At 43.8% G+C, this 24,881-nt stretch overlaps 1 annotated feature.

The window, feature by feature from the left end:
• Positions 21,227–21,403: a silencer, noted in NCBI's record as "fragment chr20:798226-798402 (GRCh37/hg19 assembly coordinates)". NCBI's record gives its function as "represses an EF-1alpha promoter that drives an FKBP-Casp9 reporter gene in an ReSE screen in phorbol 12-myristate 13-acetate-treated (for megakaryocytic differentiation) K562 erythroleukemia cells {active_cell/tissue: K562(+PMA)}" and the evidence as "EXISTENCE:reporter gene assay evidence [ECO:0000049][PMID:32094911]".

The raw sequence follows: 24,881 nt of genomic DNA on the forward strand, positions 1-24,881 counted from the left end.
AACACACATGTTTAGATTTAATTGATTACCATACAAAGGTTTGACCAGACCTGGGAGAAACCCCCTTCTGGACTGGACGGCACTTACTCATAGATGGTTCCTCCCAGGTGATTGAGGGAAAAAGACACAATGGGTATTCAGTGATTGTTGGAGAAACTCTTGTAGAAATAAAGTCAGGAAAATTGCCCAACAGTTGATCTGCTCAAACGTGTGAGCTGTTTGCACTCAGCCAAGCCTTAAAGTACTTACAGAACCACATCTATACAGATTCCAGGTATGCCTTTGGAGTGGCCCATACATTTGGGAAAATTTGGACTGAACGAGGTCTCATTAATAGTAAAGGTCAAGACCTTGTTCACAAGGAGCTGTTCACCCAAGCATTGAATAATCTTCAGTTGCCGGAAGAAATAGCTATTGTCCATGTTCCCGGACACCAGAAAAGCCTTTCTTTTGAAAGTTGAGGAAATAACCTAGCAGATCAGGTAGCCAAGCAGGCTGCTGTGTCTTCTGAAATGCGTGTTTTTCACTTAACTCCCTACCTCCCTCCTCCTACCATAATCCCCATTTTCTCTTCCACCGAAAAAGAGAAACTAATAAAAATAGGTGCTAAAGAGAATTCAGAAGGAAAGTAGATACTGCCAGACCAGAGAGAAATGTTGTCTAAACCCTTTATGAGGGAAGTCGTATCCCAACTACATCAGGGGACCCATTTTGGGCCCCAGGCCATGTGTGACGCAGTTCTCAGAGTTTATGGTTGTATAGGAATTTATACCCTGGCAAAACAGGTTACAGATAGTTGCTTAGTATGTAAGAAAACTAATAGACATACTATAAAATGATTACCTCTCAGGGGAAGGAATCCAGGCTAAAGGCCATTCCAAAGTATCTAAGTTGATTACACAGAAATGCCTCTGATAGATCATCTAAAATATTTACTAGTGATAGTAGGCCACCTCACTCCCTGGGTCGAAGCTATCCCCTTTTCAAATGCAACAGCCAGTAATGTAGTTGAGGCCCTAATTGAAAATATAGTACCCAGGTTTCGACTAACGGAAAATACTGACTCAGACAATGGAACTCATTTCACCACACACATTATTAAAAAGCTATTCCAAAATATTAGACATTAGATGGGAACACCATACTCCCTGGCACCCACCCTCATCAGGGAGAGTAGAAAGAATGAATTAGACTCTAAAGAACCACTTAACCAAATTAGTCTTACAGACTTGGTTGCCATGGACCAAGTATCTTCCTATCACCCTGCTGAGAATTTGAACTGCACCATGGAAAGACATTGGTCTTTCTCCTTATGAGATGCTCTATGGATTACCTTATTTGCACTCCACTGTTGATATTCCTACCTTTGAAACAAATGATCAATTCCTTAAAAATTATATACTTGGTCTATGTTCTACTTTCTCCTCTCTTAAAACTAAAGGTCTATTAGCACAGGCACCACCCTTGGAGTTCCTGGTGCATCAACATTAGCCTGGGGATCACGTCCTCATCAAGAGCTGGAAAGAGGAGAAGCTTGAGCCAGCCTGGGAAGGTCCTTACTTGGTGCTCCTAACTACTGAAACCGCAGTCCGCACAGCAGAGAGAGGATGGACTCACCACACCCAAGTCAAGAAAGCACCGCCCCCTCCAGAGTCGTGGGCCATAGTCCCAGGGGAAAACCCTACTAAACTAAAGCTAAGAAGAATTTAACTCCCTTTCATCTATTCTATTACTCTTTTTTCTTTCCTCACTCTATTGCTGACCATATAGTTATTAACATAACCAAGTCAATTTCACCTCAACTATTGCATTTGATGCTTGCCTTGTTATATCCTGTGGGGATTTGTCAAGCCAAAGAAAGCTCTCTACTTCAGATACCTCTGTCCCTCCTGGCTCTCCTCAGACTAGGCATTAGTGAATCGGGACCATTTAATCTGGGGAGATTTCTATAAAGATCCCAGTGGCAACCAGGAGTCTTCCCCCAGTGATGTAGAGCTTTTAAGCCATAGTTGGTCCAAAGTTCTGTGGACCATTAAAGAGCAAGGATGGATTGCCCCAACCAGTTTTTGTAATTTCCTAAATTCATACATTCGTTTTACTAAAGGGACAGTGCCCACTAACTCTCAGCTAAACCAGTGCAACCCTATACAGGTTATTATTTTGAGCCCACAAAATTCTTCCTCTTTTCTAAGCTGGTTCCCTTCTTTAAGCCAGTTTTATGGTATGGGGGCTGAAGTTTCAGGGACAGACCCTATTGGATTCTTTGAAATGCACTTCTTTGATCCCCTGCTGTCTGCACCTGCCTCTGAGCCTTTTTCCAAAACCTCTCACAACGGAACCATTGTTCCTCCTCTATCTAACGACAAGGCCAAGATAGCGATGGTAGAAGTTAAAGACTTAAAACAAACTGGCAATTGAGACAGGATACCAAGATGTAAATGTTTGGTTGGAATGGATCAAATATTTCATCCACACGTTAAACAAAAGCAATTGTTATGCTTGTGCGCACAGCAGGCCAGAGGCCCAGATTGTCCCCTTTCCACTAGGGTGGTCCTCCAGTTGACCGGGCATGGGCTGCATGGTAGCTCTTTTCCAGGATTCTATAGCCTGGGGTAAGAAGTTGTGCCAAGCTCTCTCTCTGCTATATCCCGAAGTTTGACACCTTGTGGGTCAGCCCCCAAGGGCCATCCAGCTTCCATCTCCCAACACTAAGTTTACTTCGTGTCTCTCATGACAGGGAGGAAACTTAGTGTTCCTTGGAGACCTGAAGGGATGCAGTGAGCTTAAGAACTTTTGGCCAGGCGCGGTGGCTCATGCCTGTAATCCCAGCACTTTGGGAGGCCGAGGCAGGCGGATCACAAGGTCAGGAAATCGAGACCATCCTGGCTAACACGATGAAACCCCATCTCTACTAAAAATACAAAAAAAAAAAAAAAAATTAGCCAGGCGTGGCGTCATGCGCCTGTAGTCTCAGCTACTTGGGAGGCTGAGGCAGGAGGATGGCGTGAACCCAGGAGGTGGAGCTTGCAGTGAGCCGAGATCGTGCCACTGCACTCCAGCCTGGGCGACAGAGCGAGACTCTCTCTCGAAAAAAAAGAAAAAGAACTTTCAAAAGCTTACCAATCAGCCAGCCCTTGTTCATCCCCTAGCAGAAGTGTGGTGGTATTGTGGTGGACCTTTACTGGACACTCTGCCGAATAACTGGATTGGCACTTGTGCTTTAGTCCAACTAGCTATCCCTTTCACCCTGGCATTTCATCAACCAGAGGAAGGAAAAATAAGACATCGTAAAGTGAGAGAAGCCCCTTATGGGTCTTTAGACTCTCACTTCTGTTTAGACGCAATTGGGGTCCCATGGAGAATACAAGATCAATTTAAAGTCTGGAATCAAATAGCTGCAGGATTTGAGTCAATATCTTGGTGGGTGACAATTAATAAACATGTAGATTGGATAAACTACATCTATTACAACCAACAGTGATTTAGTAACTACACTAGAGATACTGTTAGAGGAATAGCTGAGCAAGTAGGGGCTACAGGCCAGATGGCTTGGGAAAATAGGACAGCCTTAGACATGATATTAGCAGAAAGAGGAGGGGTTTGCATCGTGACTAAAACTCAATGTTACACCTTCATCCCAAACAACATTGCCCCTAATGGAAGTATAACAAAGGCATTGCAAGGTCTCACTGCTCTATCCAGTGAGTTAGCCAGCAGCTCAGGGGTAAATGATCCCTTTACAGGATGGCTAGAAAAATGGTTCGGTAAATGGAAAGGAATAATAGCCTCAATTCTTACCTCCCTCGTAGCTGTAATAGGTGTACTTATTCTTGTCGGGTGCTGTGTCATACCATGCATCCGTGGGTTGGTGCAGAGGCTCGTAGAAACGGCACTTGCTAAAACCTCCCTTAACTATCCTCCACCTTATCCAGAGAAGCTTCTTCTTTTGGAAAATCAAGCAGAACAACTAAGTCAAGACATGTTAAATAAGTTTGAAGAGAAAGCCGTAAGAAAAATGCAAGAGGAGGAAGTTGTTAAATATGAATTCTAAATTTCTCTTCAAAGAATTAGTATGTCTGTATGTTCAATTCTTTGCCTTCTACTTTTAAACTTAATTTCCTCATAAAGCAACCTTTTTCGATTACCTGCTCCACCCTGACTCACTCCGATTACCTGCTCCACCCTGACTCACTCCGATTACCTGCTCCACCCTGACTCACTCCGATTACCTGCTCCACCCTGACTCATTCCGATTACCTGCTCCACCCTGACTCATTATTCTCTGCCCTGCATAACCATTATTTTCCCGCCAAAGCACTCACCCCATCACTCTCTTTAAATTAGCCAATCGGAATTAGTTTAGCCTGTGTGGTCTAACCCTAGCCAATAGGGGAATGACATAGCAGCAGGGGCCACATCCTTCAGGGATAAGAACCCCTTTCCTTCCCTTGTCCAGATGTGTGCTCACCATTGCTCCATCTGTGAGGTTGCACCCTTTTATAGAAGTACCTTGCCTTGCTGAGAATTGAACAGAAAATTTTATATTCGAGTGCTATTTATTTTGAGGCACAGAAACTTTATATATAACAATATAAACCCGAGACCTTGGCGGGCACACACACAAGCAGCTGAATGTCAAGAGGAGTGGAGGAACGGAGTGGCAGAGAATGGCAGAGAGCGCTGGAGAGTGGCAGAGCAGCATGGCAGAGAGGGAGGGAAGAGGCGTCTGAACTTTGGAAGACACCTCCACTCCTCAATAAAGTCTCCGCATGTATCACTTTTCAAACAGTTCATGTGACCTGATTAATCCAGGATGCCAGACAAGAATCTGGGGAAGTTAACATTCAGGCATCCCTGGATGGCAAGGCTAAAGGAGCACACTGTAACATATGCCCACTTGGGCTCCAGCACCTGTCCATCTGTGTGTTCCCCCTTCCCTCAGGGGTTTGAGCAGTGGGGTGACCAAACAGACGAGCCACACCCCCTGTTGCATGTCCTGCAAGGAGAATCAGGGAACTCTCCTGTTTCAGTTGGAAGAGCAAGTGTCCCTCTCTCTCTCGTGGTGGGGAGACATCTCTTCCTTCTGGGCTGTCACAGCCCCAACCTCACCAACCTACCTGACAAGGGAGTCTGGCAGAACAAGGGCAAGGGCAGGGAGAAGCACCTCTAACTCTATTCCTGGATAATAATCAAGTCTCTAAAAGTCATCCTGGAGCCGGGCACAGTGGCTCATGCCTGTAATCCCAGCACTTTGGGAGGCTGAGGCGGGTGGATCACCTGATGTCAGGAGTTCGAGACCAGCCTGGCCAACATGGTGAAAACCTAACTCTACTAAAATACAAAAAAAATTAGCTAGGCATGGTGGCAGGTGCCTGTAATCCCACCTACTTGGGTGGCTGAGGCAGGAGAATCACTTGAACCTGGGAGGCGGAGGTCGCAATGAGCTGAGACTGTGCCACTATGCTCCAGCCTGGGTGACAGAGAGAGACTCTGCCTCAAATAAATAAATAAATAAATAAATAAATAAATAAATAAATAAATAAATAAAGTCATCCTCTAGGGCTTTGAGGCCGTTCAAGCCCCTATTTTTTCCATCTCTGTGGATGAGCCTCTGTTAAATCTGATTGTGGCTGAACAAGAGATAATGTTCCTAATAGATACAGGGACCAGTTATTCAGCTTTAAGTGTTTATTACAGCCCAATGTGCTAGTCCTCCATTTCATTACGGGTATTGATAAACTTCAGTGAGGCTGTTTCACACTGCCACTCCCTTATAAAATGAAAGGCTATTCCTTTACCCACTCTTCAGTCCTGCCAAGCTGCCCTGTTTCTTTATTAGGTCACAATTTGCTCACAAAATTACAAGCGAATTTACAGTTAAGACCTCACATTCTAGCTGTAATTAACTCACACTTCACCAAAAAAGTTGCTGCAGTCTATAGAACATCACATTTTAAAACAAGTGCCGGCCAGGCGCAGTGGCTCACGCCTGTAATCCCAGCACTTTGGGAGGCCAAGGCGGGTGGATCACTTGAGGTCAGGAGTTTGAGACCAGCCTGGTCAATATGGCGAAACCCCATCCCTACTAAAAATACAAAAATTAGCTGGGCATGGTGGCACACACCTGTAATCCCAGCTACTCAGGAGGCTGAGGCAGGGGAATCACTTGAACCTCGGAGGTGGAGATTGCAGTGAGCCAAGATAGTGCCATTGCACTCCAGCCCTGGCAACAAGAGTGAAACGCTGTCTCAAAAAAAAAAAAATTGTTCTTTTGTTTGCTTTTCTTTCACCCTGATTCCTCCTTCCCCCTTTGCCGTCTTCAGTACCAAGCTACAAAGCTAGGGGTGGCTGAGGACAGTAAACAGAGTGTGGTCTTAGCTGGCTTTTTCCCTCCTGGGAAGTTGTTGTTTAGGATCCTAATTCTAGTTCAGAGGTGCATTCTAAATAGTCTTCTCCATTGCCTTTCCCCCCAAAATTAATCTCACACGTTGGCTTGTGTGTGCATTCACGTGAGGAACTGAACTGTCATTTTCATAGATAAATAAGAGACTGAGTTTCCTTAGCTCCAAAGAGAAAGGGCATTTTGCTCCTCCCAGCAGAAAGGTACCCGAGTGACTGGGGGGCCTTGCGGGAGTGTTGGGGGGTTGAGCCCCCAGCGACATGAAGTGATTCTGCAGGGAACTCACAACAAAATTAGTTTTAAAAAGGCTCGTCCAGGAAGCACATATAGGAACTGGTCACTCTGAGTTTTGAGCCCTCTTGGAGGTGCTAGACCTCCGGAGAAAACACTGAGACACCTAAGAGGGTGGTGGCAAGGATTCAGTGGTGACACACTGTGGAGTCTCATCTGCAACCATTACACTTCGACCTACTCCACAAAAACCCTAGGCCACAGCTCAGTTACTCCTTAAAAGAAAGTGGGAAACAAATAATCTAAGAATAAGGAAAAACAAGGTGTTGACGAAAAGAGTTAAACTGTGTAAAATAGTTGAAGATATTTATTCAGAGCCCAATATGAGTGACTATGGCCCGTGACATAGCCCTTAGGAGGTCCTGAGAACACGTGCCTAAGGTGGTCGGGGCTCAGCTTGGTTTTGTATATTTTAGGAAGGCATGAGACATCAATCAAATACATTTAAGAAACACATTGGTTTGATTCAGAAAGGCGGGACAATTCAAAGCAGGGGTCAGGGTGAGGGTGGCTTCCAGGCTATAGGCTATAGGTAAATCGGTAAATTTAAACTTTTTGTTTTGTTTTGTTTTTTTGTTTTGAGACAGAGACTCACTCTTCCACCCAGGCTGGAGTGAAGTGGCACAATCTCAACTCACTGCAACCTCCGCCCCCATGGGTTTCAAGTAATTCTCCTGCCTCAGCCTCCTGAGTAGCTGGGATTACAGGCACCCACCACCACGCCTGGCTAATTTTTGTATTTTTAGTAGAGGCAGGGTTTCCCCATGTTGGCCAGAGTGATCTTGAACTCCTGACTTCAGGTGATCCACCGGCCTCGGCCTCCCAAAGTGCTAGGATTATGGGTGTGAGCCACCTTGCCTGGTCTAAATTTAAACATTTTCTGATTGACAATTGGTTGAGTTTGTCTAAAGACCCGGGATCAATAGAAAGTAAATGTTTAGGTTAAGATAAAAGACTGTGGAGTCCAAGGTTCTTTTGAGGTCTTATATTGGCTGCCCTTAGAGACAATAGGTGACAAATGTTTCTTATTCAGACCTTTGAAAATGTGCTAGACTATTAGTTAATCTCTTCAGGATTGGGAGGGCCTAAAATAAAAAGATCTAGCTATGCTAATAGAGATTCTTTACAGTTGCAAATTTTCCCCCACAAAGTACAGTTTGGCAGGACCATTTCAAAATATGGCAAAGAAACATGTTTTGGGGTAAAACAATTGACTTTCTTCTTGGTCATGTAATGTTATGCCAGAGTCAGATTGGAAAGTAGTCATCATATATAATGTTAAATAAAATCCATCTGATGAGAATTTATGATTTGTAGGGCATGACTCCCCAGACCCCTTAGATAGGAATTTAGGCAAGATAGAAAAAATCAGAGCTTAGTCTTCTCACAAGAGAATGACCCTCTTTTAGGTACCCCATTGATTTTACGGCATCTCTACTTTGCAAGTGTTTGTGTAAATGGACATATTATGGTCTCTTTGTGCACAATTATGTCAAAGACAATTTAGAGCTTGAAGGTTGACCTCCAGCTGTAAAGTTCCTAAGTTCTCTATCTCTCTGCTTTCTTTTCTGCCTGTTTTAAGTCTGCTATTATTTTTCTTTCTTTTTTTGAGACAGAGTCTTGCTCTGTGCCCAGGTTGGAGTGCAGTGGTGCAATCTCAGCTCACTACAACCTCTGCCTCCCAGGTTCAAGCAGTCCTCCCACCTCAGCCTCCTGAATAGCTGGGACTACAGGCATGTGCCACCACTCTTGGCTAATTTTTTTTTTTTTTTGAGACAGAGTCTTGCTCTGTTGCCCAGGCTGGAGTGCAATGGCATGATCTCAGCAAACCAACGAGTTTCTATTAATATCTCATGGCTAGAGTTCTGAGATAATAGCTATAGGATCTTTGGTTGTATGAGTATGTATGTGTGTGTTTATGCATACATACACTTATTTCATTGTGTTTTCTAGCCACAGGTACTGAATTGGCTTAAAGTTAAAGAATATTCATAAATTAATAAGCCTAAATGCTTTTCAAGTTCATGTGACTTAAGTAAAATCTTTAATAAGCTAGCTTTAAAATTATTGGTAAAGTAATATTAGAAATGTCTTAAAAATTGTTAGCATAAATTTTTGTTTGCATTTATTGATCAAGGGACTTCATATACTGCCAAATACTGTAAGGTGTCAAAATTTGGCATAGGGTTTGTAAAACTACAAAACCGTTCAAAACAGAATGATTTTTGCTTTTGTAATTTTTGATAAATAAGACATTGATATTGGTTTAATGAAAACAGCTAAATCATGAATTATTTAGTGAAATAACAATATATTTAATCTTAAGGTTTTTACTTAGCAAACACCTGAAATTCACAGGCTATCAAATGTTTGACAGGGAAATAACTTTAAATGATGACTATCACAGTTTTCATAACTAACCTGGGTAAACTATTAAAATAAAATATTTAGGTAAATGTAATGGGATAAATACTTGTAGACAAAGTTGTCATAATTTAGGATCTAAAGTTATGTTAAATTAAACAATAGATATTTCATTAACTGGGTTTTTTTAATTAAAAAAGATATTGCAGGAAATCATTTTTTTTCTAAAAAATGTGTTCTTGTTAAAAGGAGGATAATTTTTGTCTAATTCAAAGCTTATTTAAAGGTTATATATAAAATAAGGTAAAAAGAAACAAGAAAATATATAAAGAAGTTATAGAAATAAAAAAGAATTTTTGGTAAGAAAGCTTAAAGAAAAATAATTTTACATGAGAAAGAACCTTGTATGGTACATTTTTGTCCTAGAATAAAATGACTGGTTGTTTAAGAAAGAGGAATGTTCATACAAACCAGAAAGTCCAAGCATGTCGTGAATGGTCTGTTTAAGTTATAATAAGAGCATTTATGGAAAAAGACCCACAAACTTTCATATAATCAAGTTGTCTATAATTAAAGGGAAATTATTTATAATGATCTTTTGAGAGATTGGGTTTTGATATTAAAAAACATTTATACACTAAAGAATTCATTAGAACAACATTTTCTTAAGGTATTGATTTACTTTTAATAAATTACAAGACTATATATATAATATATTTTTTCCTGCAAAGTTCAACTTTTATTGCATCTCACTGTTTTCAGCTTTCTCTCCCCTTTTAAAGTACCTGAAATAATAACTCTATCTTTCAACTCATTTTTAGCTCCTGTAAGTTTTTTTATTTTCTCCTTTGTGTTCTAACTGTTGTGGCCTGACGCTAATAAATGTTTTATCTTTGTGGTCTAAAGGAAACATTCCTTCCAACATAATATTTCCTGTAGGGAACAGCGGTTGAAATGCAGAAGGTGTTTTGTTTTCCCTTTGGGAAATTGGCCTAATAAACAGAGTTTATGCTTTATTGAAATAATTCCTATGTCATTATTACTAAGTTTTGGTTTGTTTAGAAAAAAACCCGAGATTAAATTTTTTTTAATTAAGATTATTACATACATGTAACCCTCTGTATGTGCTTTTAAAGTCCTTGTGCCATTAAGTTACAGAGCTTTGAGTCCTTGGTCTAAAAAGAACACCAAGTCCTGCTAAATATTAAACACTGACAGCAGTTAAAACCTCATTTTCTGACCTGGTAGAAGATGCCAATCAAAATAAACTGTGTTCATGAGACAGAAGGCCGGAAATTAAAACGATTCAACTCCTCAAGGTCTGGAGACTATCAAAGAAGAGGTGGGTGCATGAGATTGTAAGGGCCGATTTTGAGAGATCAAATGATTATAAGGCCAATTTTGAGAGATAAAATAATTGAGTTTCTCTATAAATTAACCATTAATCTCAAAGGCACACTGATGCAAGACTAGCATATGGGCTGCTGTGTCACGTTAACAAGGTTTTCTTGGAGAATTAACCCACTCCTTAATAAAAGGTTATAAAAGAGGTTATAAAGGTTATAAAAAAGGCTTGTGGAATTTTTATCTTGTGGTCAGGATGATTAAAATTTTATAGATTGTTTATACATTTTGAAAAACAAATTTAATTGGCCTCGTTTTTATTAGGGCTTATTGTTTAGGCAATTAAGTCTTCTCTCTCAAAGAATCAAGGTTTTTGCCTTTTTTTTGAAATCTTTGAGTTATCAAGTTGAGTAAATGAAAGACTTATTTTACAATGACTTGATCTGTGATCCTATTTTGTGATATCAAGCATTTTATTTATTTATTTATTTATTTTTGAGATGGAGTCTTACTCTGTTGCCCAGGCTGGAGTGCAGTGCTATGATCTTGGCTCACTGCAACCTCCACCTCCTGGGTTCAAGCGATTCTCCTGCCTCAGCCTCCCGAGTAGCTGAGATTACAGGTGCCTGCCACCACACCCGGCTAATTTTTGTATTTTTCATAGAGACAGCATTTACCATGTTGGCCAGGCTGGTCTAGAACTCCTGACCTCAGGCGATCCACCCACCTTGGCCTCCCAAAGTTTTGGGATTACAGGTATGAACCACTGTGCCCAGCCAAATCAAGCATTTTAAACTTTTTATTTTTATTTTTAAAATTTTAATATTTTGAGATGGAGTCTCTCTCTGTCACTCAGGCTGGAGTGCAGTGGTGCAATCTTGGCTCACTGCAACCTCTGCCTCCCAGGTTCAAGCAATTCTCATGCCTCAGCCTCATGAATAGCTGGGATTACAGGCACTTGCCACCACACCCAGCTAATTTTTCTATTTTTAGTAGTGACAGGGTTTCACCATGTTGGCCAGGCTGGTCTTGAACTCCTAACCTCAGGTGATCCACTTGCCTTGGCCTCCCAAAGTGCTGAGATTACAGGTGTGAAAGGTGTTTAAAGGCCACTGTGCCTGGCCTTTAAACTTTTTATATTTGACAAACTTTCCAAAGTCAAATTCTAACTTGGTTCCTCAATGATTTTTTGATATTAGTCCCCTGAAGTCCAAAAGAGACACAGTCAGCTTATTTGGCATAAAAATCATACAGGAAGCATTGTCAAATATGTAATAGTGTTTGGCTTTCTTTGGGCTGTATTTGTATAAATATGTTATTGGCATATGTTCCAAAATTATGGGAAAATCCTATAATTATGAATGACTTAGTATATGTTATTAATCATTATCATTATTATGTAAAATTATTGTATGCTACAGAAGTAACCAAGTTTCTTTGTCAATTGTGTCTTTAAGTATGACTTTTCTAAAACTTTTGTCATCCACAGTTGTTTTACTTTTATCCTTTTCAAAAGGATGATTTTACAATCAGCATAGGACTCTGACAGTTGCTGTTGAATACAGGTTTTGGAGATAGTGACACTAAAATAGAGAAAAAAAATCCAACACTCCCATAGAGAGCTGAAATATACATGAATAGCAAGCAGAAGAGGAGTTAACTGCATGGACTGAACTAATAGAAGACTGAAATAATCCTTCTATGACTTTTTGCTTAAAACATTGCTAATCCTTTCTTTGTTTTTCAGAGCCAAGAAAACATTTATTTTGAGCTTTTAAAAAATTTATTATTATTATTATTATTAACAAATAAATAATCTTCTTTCTTTTTTTCTTTTATCTTTCTCTGCAGGGCAAGTTCTGTATTTATAGCTTTTAACAATTGAGGAAATTATACTCCTATAAACAAAATTTGGAGCATATTTCTCTCTATCTGGTTTCTCTAAAATTTGGAAACTAGTTGGGAGTATTCTTAACTTATAGCAATATAGTTATCTGCACAAGTACAATAAGAATCTGTTTTCTTTTGTAAGAGGACATAATTGGGGACAGTGGTGATTTTACCAAGGTTTTGACTGGAACAACATGCTATCAGATGCAGACTCCTTTAAGGAATCAAAGTTGACTTACAGAGCTAATAAAAGCATCTTGGGAAAGCTGGCCTCCTATCTTGTCTACACAGTCCCTGTACAGGTTCCTGACCTGTGGTAAGTAAAGAGTGTCACTTTCTAACAGGCCCAGGAGCCCAAAGTCTTCCTGAGGTGAGGAATTCATCCAATTAATACAGGTATTTGCAGGCACAGGCCGGGCTTAAGACATTAAAGTCGAATGTGAGATTACTTATGGAATAAAGTTCCAGCAAAGCCAATTAAAAAAAAAACAAGGAGCCTATATGGCAAATAATTATTCTTGATGATTTTATGCAAATACTCCAGCCAAATATAATAAGACAGAAACTTATTTTGCAAATGAATTTTGTTCTATAATTTGTCCTCAGTGAAAGGGGACTGGAGAGAGAAAAAATTATGTTTCAAAATCACCTATAGTACACCTGTTGTTAGATTTTAGTCTCACTTAGTGTTTTTAAATTTTTATTATTTTCTATAGTTTGGACTAAACTCTAAAATTTTTCCTGGTCACAAGTCCCCAAAATAATTTTTTTCATTTTTTTTCTTTTTTCCTTTCCTTTTCCCCCCACATTTTTTCCTGATTAGAAATCACCAAACATTAAACTGTGCTTTCCTAAAGCCCTGTGAACTAAAGCTAGACAATCTATTTACATACATAAGCTACTTTCATACCTGCCTACTGGTGTATGAACTTCAGAGTAATATGGCCTATATTGATTTCCCAGGATTATTGTTGTTGTTGTTGTTTTTCTCCTTTCCTCCCCCATTTTCTCTTAGGACGTGAGACTTCACAACCTGCTAAAGCGAGCTTTCCTAATAATGTGGAACCTACCTGTCTATGAATAAACTGTCCTAGTCATGAGAGATCAGACAAAACCTGAGACCAGAGGCTAATTTTCTTCTAAAATGCTTTTAAAAAGAAAAGGGGGGAAATGTGAAAGGAAAATAAACTTGGGACCCTCAAATCACTAAGCCAAAACGAAAAGTCAAGCTGGGAACGGCATCGGGCAAACCTGCCTCCCATTCTAATGGGATAGCTAAATAAGATAGCTACAAAGATTTTAAAAAGCTACATACCTCCCTCACAATTTTCCCACAAGGAAATTCCTTGTGTACCTAGAACAGACAGAACTCAAAGTCATCCCTCTGCTCATGGGAGACAAATGCACATCTGATGGCTTCCTTTGCCCTATTGCTTCGCTAAGCCAGACTAAGGCATAAGTGACTATTCCTGCAAGTTGCATATTCAGTGGAGGGCTAATCAGAAACTCAAAAGAATGTAACAATTTGTCCTTTATCTACCTATGACCTGGAAAACCCCTCCCCACTTCAGGTTGTCTCACCTTTCTGGATGGAATTGATGTACATCTTACGTATTTGCTGACTGATGTCTCATGTCTCCCTAAAATGTATAAAACCTAGCTGTGCCCCAACTACCTTGGGCACATGTTATCAGGACCTCCTATGGCTGTGTCACTGGTGTGTCCTTGACCTTGGTAGAATAAATTTTCTAAATTGATTGAGACTTGTCTCAGATAACTCTTGATTTGCAGTAAGTAGCATTTCTAAACATCTCTGGAATGCATGCATATTGAAACTCATTATGCAACCCTTGCTGACATCAAGGCAGGAAAATGTCTACAAATGTAATCATTTAGCGTGACCTATGTGGCTAATGTGGACCAAATTATCCTTAAGCTCCTGCTTTAAGGTGCATAAATGCCCCTGAGGAAAAATCCACCTTGGCACTCTCCATCCTATCTTGCTGAGATTCTTGCCTGCACTCTTCTACAGAGTTCTTTCTTTCTAATAAAACTTTCCTTTTTTCAAACCAATACTATTATCCATAAATTCTTCTTCTTTTTTTGTTTTTTTGAAACGGAATCTCACTTTGTTGCCCAGGCTGGAGTGCAGTAGCATGATCTTGGCTCACTGCAACCTCCACCTCCTGGGCTCAAGTGAGTCTCCTGCCTCAGCCTCCAGAGTAGCTGGGATTACAGACGTCCACCACCACGTCCAGCTAATTTTTGTATTTTTAGTAGAGATGAGGTTTCACCATGTTGGCCAGGCTGGTTTTGAACTCCTGACCTCAAATGATCCACCTGCCTTGGCCTCCCAAAGTGCTGGGATTATAGGTATGAGCCACCATGCCCAGCAGTAAATTCTCCTTACTAATCCACGAGTGGACCACTTTCCAATGCTGAGGCTCTGACACCTCGCTGGGCAGCCACTTTTGATTATTTTGGGTTGTCAGGGCTCAGGGACACAAGAACTTGCTCCTTAGGGGAGCTGGAGGTCTAGTAGGGATTGCTTGTTCTCCATCAGGCCCCTAGTAGGGAGGCCTCTCCTGTCCCCAATCCCTGACTCCCAGGGATGCTCCCCTCCAAACCACAGCAGGAAGTTCCTCCTTAGGTCAGACCCACAGCCCTGATGCTGTGGTCTCACTGCAGGTCATAGTCTCACAGGGGCCTCTTATATTATTTTAATTTTAATTTTAATTAAATTAAATTAATTTTTTTTTTTTAGATGGAGTCTCGCTCTTATCGCCCAGGCTGGAGTGCGGTGGTGTGATCTTGGCTCACTGCAACTTCTGCCTCCCAGGTTCAAGTGATTCTCCTGCCTCAGCCACCTGAGTAGCTGGGATTACAGGCATCCGCCACCATGCCTGGCTAATTTTTGTATTTTTAGTAGAGACAGGGTTTTGCCATGTTGACCAGGCTGGTCTCGAAATCCTGGCCTCAAGTGTTCTGCCTGCCTCAGCCTCCCAAAGTGCTGGGATTACAGGTGTGAGCCACCGTGCCTGGTCTTATATTATTTTAATTTTAAATTTAAGAATACATTCTTAATATCAACCTTCAAAGACTCCCTGTTGCTTACCAAGTTAAGAAAACTACTTAAACCTCACATATAATTCCTTTCTCAACTGGGACCAATAAACCGTGACAGCTTTATTGAAGGGGGCCAGCCCCTTCACACCTGTGGGTATTTCTCGTCAGGTGGGATGAGAGACTGAGAAAAGAAATAGACACAGGGACAAAGTACAGAGAAAGAACAGTGGGCCCAGGGCACTGGCGCTCAGCATACGAAGGACCCGCACCGGCGCCAGCCTCTGAGTTCCCTCAGTATTTATTGATCATGATCTTTACTATCTTAGCAAGGGGAGTGTAGCAGGGCAACAGGTGGGGAGAAGGTCAGCAGGGAAACATGTGAGCAAAGGAATCTGTATCATGAGTAAGTTCAAGGAAAGATACTGTGCCCGGATGTGCACGAAGGCTAGATTTATGTTTCTCTTTACCCAAGTATCTCAGTGTAGCAAAGAGCAACAGAGCAGTATTGCTGCCAGCATATCTCGCCTCCAGCCACAGGGCGGTTTTCTCCTATCTCAGAATAGAATGAATGGGAATGGTCGGCTTTACACAGAGACATTCCATTCCCAGGGATGAGCAGAGAAGCCTTCCTCTTATCTCAACTGCAAAGAGGCCTCCCTCTTTCACTCCTCCTCCTCAGCACAGACCCTTTATGGGTGTCGGGCTGGGGGATGGTAAGGTCTTTCCTTTCCCATGAGGCCATATCTCAGGCTGTCTCAGTTGGGGGAAACGTTGGACAATACCCAGGCTTTCTTGGGCAGAGGTCCCTGTGGCTTTCCACAGTGCATTGTGTCCTTGGTTAACAGAGAATGGAGAATGGCGATGACTTTTACCAAGCATACTGCCTGCAAACATATTAACAAGGCACATCCTGCACAGTCCTAAATCCATTAAACTTTGATCCAATACAGCACATGTTTCTGTGAGCACAGGGTTGGGGATAAAGTTACAAGTTAACAGCATCTCAAAGCAGAAACAATTTTTCTTAATACAGATCAAAATGGAGTTTCTTATGTTTCCTTTTCTACATAGACACAGTAACAATCTGATTTCTCTTTCTTTTCCCCACACTTTCTCACGTGTTCTTTCTTTCTTTCTTTCTTTTCTTTTTTGAGATGGAGTCTCGCTTTGTTGCCCAGGCTGGAGTGCAGTGGCGTAATCTCAGCTCACTGCAAACTCTGCCTCCCAGGTTCAAGTGATTCTCGTGCCTCAGCCTCCCGAGCAGCTGGGATTACAGGCATGCACCATGACGCCCAGCTAATTTTTGTATTTTCAGTAGAGACGGGTTTCACCATCTTGGCCAGGCTGGTCTCGAACTCCTGACCTCAAGTGATCCACCTACCTCAGCCTCCCAAATTACTGGGATCATATGAATGAGCCACCATGCCTGGCCCATGTTTTTCTTGTACTTTAGGCTTTGCTACTTACAACCAGAACTGCTTACCATTCTGTCAGAAGCCTTCCAACCAGGGCAACTCCATCTTGAATAGGGGCTGGGTAAAATAAGGCTGAGACCCACTGAACTGCTTTCCCAGAAGGTCAGACATTCTTAGTCACAGGATGGGATAGGAGTTTGGCAGGACTGGTATCACAAGTACAGGTCACAAAGACCCTGCTGATAAAACAGGATGCAGTAAAAGAAGCCGGCCAAAATCCACCAAAACTACGATGGGGATGAAAGTGACCTCGATTCGTCCTCACTGCTCATTATATAGGAATTATAATGCATTCGCATGCTAAAAGACACTCCCACCAGCACCATGAGAATTTACCAATGCCATGGCAACGTCAGGAAGTTACCCTACATGGTCTAAAAAGGGGACGAACCCTCAGTTCTGGGAATTGCCCATCCCTTTCCTGGTAAAACAATGAATAATCCACCCCTTGTTTAGCATACGATCAAGGAGTAACTATAAGTATGTTCAGCTGAGCAGCCCATGCCACTGCCCTGCCTATGGAGTAGCCATTATTTTATTCCTTTACTTTCTTAAATAAACTTGCTTTCACTTTACTCTATGGATTCACCCCAAATTCCTTCTTGTGTGAGGTCCAGAAACCCTGTCTTGGGGTCTGGTTTGGTACCCCTTTCTGGTAATAATTCTGTAAGTATTTGTAGTACGTCTGAGCCACCAAAATTTCCATACTGATCCTTCCATTAGAATATCCTTTCTGCCTGTCTCTTTCTGGCAGGATCTGATCCATATTTCAAAGCCAGTCTCAAATGCCACCTTTTCCAAAGAAACCTATCCTTATATCTTTATCTAATACAAACAGTATATATTGGGAGCCTAAGAAATGCTTGTTGCATACATCAATGAATGAACCCCAAACCAATGTATTTCTCCCTTCCTTGTAATCTCCAGAAATGTTTATAAACTTTGTTGTTGTTTATTTGTTTGTTTTATTTTTATTTTTATTTTGAGATGGAGTTTTGTTCTTGTCACCCAGGCGGGAGTGTAATGGCGCGATCTCGGCTCACCACAACCTCTGCCTCCTGGGTTCAAGTGATTCTCCTGTCTCAGCCTCCCGAGTAGCTGGGATTACAGGTGTGCACTACCATGCCCAGCTAATTTTTGTGGTTTTAGTAGAAATGGGGTTTCACCATGTTGGTCAGGCTGGTCTCAAACTCCTGACCTCAGGTGATCCACCCGCCTTGGCCTCCCAAAGTGCTGGGATTACAGGCGTGAGCCACCGTGCCCGGCCTGTTGCTATTTATTTAATATACTTTATTTTTTTGAGCGATTATAAGTTTATTTTTATTTATTTATTTATTTATTTATTTATTTTTGAGACAGGGTCTCATTGTCACCTCTTGCCCAGGCTGGAGTGCAGTGGCACGATGTTAGCTCACTGCAACCTCTGCCTCCCAGAGTCAAGTGATCCTGCCACCTCAGCCTCCTGAGTAGTTGGGACCACAGATGTGCACCACCACGCTGGGCTACTATTTTTATATTTTTAGTGCAGATGGGGTTTTGCCATGTTGCTCAGGCTGATCCTGAACTCCTGAGCTCAAGCAATCTGCCTGCCTTGGCCTCCCAAAGTTCTGGAATTACATGCGTGAGCTACTGAGCCCGGCCTTAGGTTTACAGAACAGCATTCCACCCATGTTATTTATGCAGGGGAGCACACCACACACATCACTTTGCAGCTTCCTTTCTCCTCTTATATGTCTTACAGATCTTTCTGTGTTCTGTACATTGAGACACTCATTCATTGGCTTCACTCATTCATTTGAATTCATTCCTTTGTTCAACAGATATTTATCGTCAGCTCTATGTCAGGCACTATGAGAAGTGCTTGGGATATAAAACTGAACAAAATAAACAAAGTCCTTTCCATTGGAGAGATGACATTCTAGTGTAAGGAGATAGACAATAGATAATAAATACAACAAATAAATAAATACATGGTTTAGTATGTTATAAGATGCTTTCTGTAGGAAAAAAGTGAGAGGGACCTGGAGTGGAGGGAGGACCGAGTGGGGACAGGTGCAGGGTGGGGGCAGCCAGTAGAGCCCCTCTGAGGAGGAGTGGATCACAGGAGGATGACTGGCAAGACCTAAAGGTGGCAAGCTGTCTCTGGTGCTGGCTCTGAGAGCAGGATAGCTGGAGTAGAGTGAGGGAAAGGCGAGGTCAGAGGTGAACCTGCAGGGCAGGTGGGGCTCCTTCCGCTAGCGCATGGTGTTCCATTATCCAGATGCACCAGGACAAATGTCGCCCACTGCCATTACTAGGTGCTTACCATGTGCCATCAAGAACAATACCGCAGGCCGGGTGCGGTGGCTCACGCCTGTAATCCCAGCATTTTGGGAGGCCAAGATGGGTGGATCACTTGAGGTCAGGAGTTCGAGACCAGCCTGGCTAACATGGTGAAACCTGGTCTCGACTAGAAATCTAAAATTAGCCTAGCGTGGAGGCGCACTCCTGTAAACCCAGCTACTTGGGAGGCTGAGGCAGGAGAATCTATTGAACCCAGGAGGCAGAGGTTGCAGTGAGCCTAGATTTCGCCATTGCACTCCAACTGGGCAAGAGCAAAAATCTGTCTCAAAAAACAAACAAAAACAATACTGCAATAAACATTCTGTCAGTCTGTCATTTTGCCCATGGACAGAATATCTGCAGAATTAATTCCCGGCAGTGAACTTGAGAGAGATCACCCAATTGCCTTCCAAAGGAGCTGTGCCTGGACCATGGGTTTCAGCACAAAGTGCTGCTCCCTCCAACTTGTAGACTCTTCTGGCAGGTCACGGTGGAGCTCACATTCTAGCGGGAGAGTGTCCAGGGCAGAGATATTCCATTCCGTGTCTTTTCTCCCAGGGCTCGCACAGAGAGGGTTCACGCGGTAGTCAGTAGGTGGGCAGTGCTTGGTGAAGGCATTGATGGGTGGAGGGATTGAAGGATGAATGAATGGATTAGGGGCTGACAGTGCCGCTGCAGTTACTCAAAGGAGCCACCAGGAGGCGCAGGGAGCCCACATTCTGGAGACAAACCTTTTAAAAAAAGCATCTGGTGACTTAACGACCTTTTCACCAATGGCTTGTGTGGGGCCTTAATGCTAGGGTGAGAAAAAGGTGGGAGATGGAAGAAAGGGGAGTGGGTAAAAGGACATGTGGGAGAAGAAGGCAGAGAGAGGGCCTTCTGAGGGGGCCTCCACGCCAGGTAAGGACCGTTTAGCTCCCCTAAGAGCCTGCAGCATTGATGCAGATCCCAGCAAAGCCAAAACCCCCTTATGCCCACAGTTGAGCCCAAAAGCCCAGAACAGAGGGGAAAAATAAATTTCAGGATAGGCCAGGTGAAGTGGCTTACGCCTGTAATCCCAAAACTTGGCGAGGTCAAGTAATCCCAAGTACTTTGGGAGGCTGACAGGGGAAACTCTATCTAAAAAAAAAAAATAAGAAAAGGAATTTCCAGGATAAATATGTACAGTATAATCCCATTTATGTGAAAAAAAAAATCTCCACAAATAAATTCCTTTGTGCGTGTGTGTGTGTGTGTGTGTGTGTGTGTTTGTGTGTGACGGAGTCTCAGTCTGTCGCCCAGGCTGAAGTGCAGTGGCACGTTCTCGGCTCACTGCAACCTCCGGCTCCCAGGTTCAAGCAATTCTCCTGCCTCAGCCTCCTGAGTATCTGGGATTACAGGCGTGTGACACCACACCCAGCTAATTTTTGTATTTGTGGTAGAGACGGGGTTTCACCATGTTGGTCAGGCTGGTCTCGAACTCCTGACCTCGTGATCTGCCCGCCTCAGCCTCCCATAAATTCTACATATTAGTTTGGGGAGTGTGTATTTACCACATACACATCTACAGGGAAAATCTGGAAAGGTAAATGTCGAATTGACAACAGTGGTTACTTTTGTTATTGTGTGTGTAGAGAGGGGCAGGGGACAAAAAGGAAAATGAGGAGTGATCAAAGGGGACTTTAATTTTCTTTTTTTTTTTTGAGACAGAGTCTCAGCTCACTGCAACCTCTGTCTCCCAGGTTCAAGTGATTCTCCTGCCTCAGCCTCCCAGGTAGCTGGGATTACAGGCACCCGCCACCACGCCTAGCTAATTTTTGTATTTTATTTTAGTAGAGACAGGGTTTCGGTTTCACCATGTTGGCCAGGCTGGTCTCAAACTCCTGACCTCAGGTGATCTGCCTGCTGCGGCCTCCCAAAGTGCTGGGATTACAGGCGTGAGTCACTGCACCGGGCCCCCAAAGGGGACTTTAGACTAAACTGAAACATTTTAACTTTCCAGGAATCTGTAACCCTGCTATTATATAACCACAAATTAAAAATTACTTTAAAAAATGAAAAAAAAAAAAAAAAAAAAAAGGCTGGGAGCGGTGGCTCACACCTGTAATCCCAGCACTTTGGGAGGCTGAGGCAGGAGGATCACGAGGTCAGGGGTTTGAGACCAGCCTGGCCAAAACGGTGAAACCCTGCCTCTACTAAAAAGACAAAAATTAGCAGAGTGTGGTGGCACGTGCCTGCAGTTCCAACTACTCAGGAGGCTGAGGCAGGAGAATCGCTTGAACTTGGGAGGCAGAGGTTGCAGTGAGCCTAGACTGCGCCATTGCACTCCAGCCTGGGCAACAGAGCAAGACTCCGGCTCAAAGAAAAAAAAAAAAGGAAAAGAGAAAAAAAAAGGAACAATAACAACAACAAAAATTAAATGCTATCTTGTGTTGCATCAATAGAAGTCTTACGTGCAGCTCAAGGGAGGTGACAGCCCCCTCTGCTCTGCTCAGACCACACCTGGGACCTCCTTTCCTCTTCTTGGCCCTGTCCCGTGAGAAGAATAATGACAGCCTAAGGCATGCTGGGGGTTGGAGATGGGGGGAGGCTGGGGCCATCTGCACATGATACAGATCCAGGAATAGTCCCTTTACCCAAGCGGGAGAAACTGGGCAGGTGAGCAGCTTCCAGGTGTGTGGATGGCAAATGGATGCCAGACTTTAGGATAGGAATCCAGGGGTGCAGCGGATGGAAAGTCCAGCCCAGGATGGGGCATAGTTTTCCCACCCAGCTAGGGAGGGAGGGTAGGGGCTACTCTGGGGTGTCAGGAGTGCCGAAGCCTGAGGTAGGCGCAAGCCAGGCAGCATGGCAGCATCCTTCCAGAGGGTGTTGTGCAGCTGTGGAAAACAATTGCTGGGAGGCCGGCAGGGGCAGTGGTGGAGGAGACCAGAGCTTAATTCTAGGTGAGTCACAATAGCCTCATCTGTAGAATGAGTGAGGGGTGGGGCGTAGTTTCAGATTTTTTTTTTTTTTTTGACACGTAGTTTCGCTCCTGTTGCCCAGGCTGGAGCGCAATGGCGCAATCTCGGCTCACCGCAACCTCCGCCTCCCGGGTTCAAGCGACTCTCCTGCCTCAGCCTCCTGAGTAGCTGGGATTACAGCCATGTGCCACCATGCCCGGCTAATTTTGTATTTTTAGTAGAGACGGGGTTTCTCCATGTTGGTCAGGCTGGTCTTGAACTCTTGATCCGCCCGCCTTGGCCTCCCAAAGTGCTGGGATTACAGGCGTCAGCCACCGTGCCCCACCAGTTTCTGACTGATTTTCTTTTTTTTTTTTTTTTGAGACGGAGTCCCGCTCTGTCGCCCGGGCGAAGTGCAGTGGCGCGATCTCGGCTCCCTGCAAGCTCCGCCTCCCGGGTTCACGCCATTCCCGGGCCTGGGACCACAGGCGCCGCCACCACGCCCGGCTAGTATCTTTTTTTATTTTTATTTTCAATAGAGACGGGGTTTCACCGTGTTAGCCAGGACGGTCTCGATCTCCCGACCTCGTGATCCGCCCGCCTCGGCCTCCCAAAGTGCCGGGATCACAGGCGTGAGCCACCGCGCCGGGCCCAGCTTCTGATTTTATGCAGCTGGCGGGATCTTGTTCTTGGTCCTTTAAGGCGACCGGAGGGATTGCAGTTTTAAAAACTCGCCAGCAGAGGTCGCCTTCTGACGGATTTGACCAAAAAATCCATTCCGGTGGGAAAGGGGAACCTGCGCCTGCGATTCTCTCTCTCTCCCCCTCTCTCCCTCTCTCTTTCTCTCCCCCCCTCTCTCTCTCTCCCTCCCTCCCTCTCTCCTCCTACTCCTCCCTCCCTCCCTCTCTCTGTCTCTCCCTCCCTCCCTCCCGCTCTCTCCCCCCTCCCCCTCTCCCCCTCCCTCCCTCCCTTCCTCCCTCTCTGTCTCTTTCTTTGAGACAAAGTTTCACTCTGTCACCCAGGCTGGAGTGCAGTGGCACGATCTCCACTCACTGCAACCTCTGCCTCCCGGGGTTCGTGATTCTCATGCCTCAGCCTCCCGAGTAGCTGGGATTACAGGCGCCCGCCACCACGCCCGGCTAATTTTTGTATTTTTAGTAGAGACGGGGTTTTGCCATGTTGGCCAGGCTGGTCTCAAACTCCTGACCTCAAGTGATCTGCCTGCCTCGGCCTCCCAAACTAAGATTCATTTGTTGACTAAGTGAATAAAAGGGGAGACATTGAAGAGGGGGACCCGACTGGATTTGGGGGTGAAGGTGGAGTTGAGAGTGACTTTGAGGCTTCTGCTTGAGCAATGAGTGGAGGGTGCCTCTCCTGAGCTGGGGAAACTGGGGCAGCACTGACGGAGGGGACACAGCTACAGAGGGGAGAACCCTCTCCTGCCGGGGCTGCGGGTTACAGCCTGCACTGCGATTCTCTGATCTCAGGGACCTCAGACTTCTGGGGCCCTGTCCCCTACCTCTGTGTATGACCCTAGCTGGCTGAGGGCTGAAGGCTTGCTGTTGGCTCTTTCTGCACCCTCAGCCTTCTCCTTCCTCTTCCCTCTGCAGGACTCTGTCCTGGGTCCTTAGGAAGAGTCCAGGCCCCAGGACAGGGAAGTTGGGTCAGGCCTGGACCTCACATTCCCTGCCTGTCCCATGAGGTGGACAGTGAGAGGACAAATGCCTGGACCCCTGGCCCCAAACCCAAGAGCAGATGTACCGGAGAAGAGCTTCTTAGAGCACCAGGTGCCAGGGCTGCGGTGGAGAATCAGGGGGGCCCAGGGGAAGGGGCTGCAGATGAGGGAGGAGATAGATACGGAGGGCCTGTGTGCCTCCCAGATACAGGGCTGGCTTTCCCAGCCCAGAAGGTTCTTTCTGCCTTTCCCAGTCTTCTTCCATTCTCATTTCATGTTCACACTTTTGGCCATACCCAGGGTCAGCCATGAAGATTGTTCTCAGAATGTTTTCTTTCTTCCTTCCTTTCTCTTTCTTTTCTTTCTTTCTTCCTTTCTTTCTTTCCTTTCTTTTTCTTTCTTCTCTTTCTTTTTTTCTTTTCTTCTTTCTCTCTCTTTCTTTCTCTCTCTCTCTCTCCTTCCTTCCTTCCTTCTTTTCTTTCTTTCTTCTTTCTTTTTTTGAAACAGAGTCTCACTATGTCACCCAGGCTGTAGTGCATTGGCACGATCACTGCTCACTGCAGCCTTGACCTCCTGGGCTCAAGTGATCCTCCCGCCTCAGCCTCCTGAGTAGCTGGGACCACAGGTATGCACCACCATGCCCAGCTGATTTTTTAATTTTTTGTAGAGATGGGGGTCTCACTGTGTTGCTCTGGTTGGTCTTAAACTGCTGGGCTCAAGTGATCCTCCCGCCTTGGCCTTCCAGAGTGTTGGGATTACAAGCAGGAGCAGCACACCTGGCCAATGTTTTATTTAAATCAACTCACTTAGGTTGAATTAGAATAATTTTAGACACACAGAAGAGTGTGTCTATATAATTTTGAATTATATACCCAACACTCAGATATAACATTAGCATTTTGCCATATTTGCTTCATCTATTTCTTTCTGAAATATTTTAATGTAAATTACAGATATCATGAATTTTCATCCCCAAATACTTTAGTCTGCATCAGTCAAAGATATCTAATATTTAATCCACAATGGATTTCCCCAGTGGCAATTCCCCTAAATTGTGTTTTACAGTTGACAGTGGATTTATTGTAAAAGGAAACTCGATATACCAAGTGACAAGCAAGTTATCTTCTGTTATA

The sequence above is a fragment of the Homo sapiens genome, chromosome 20 (genome assembly GCF_000001405.40).
Source record: "Homo sapiens chromosome 20, GRCh38.p14 Primary Assembly".
NCBI classification, from domain to species: Eukaryota; Metazoa; Chordata; class Mammalia; order Primates; family Hominidae; genus Homo; species Homo sapiens.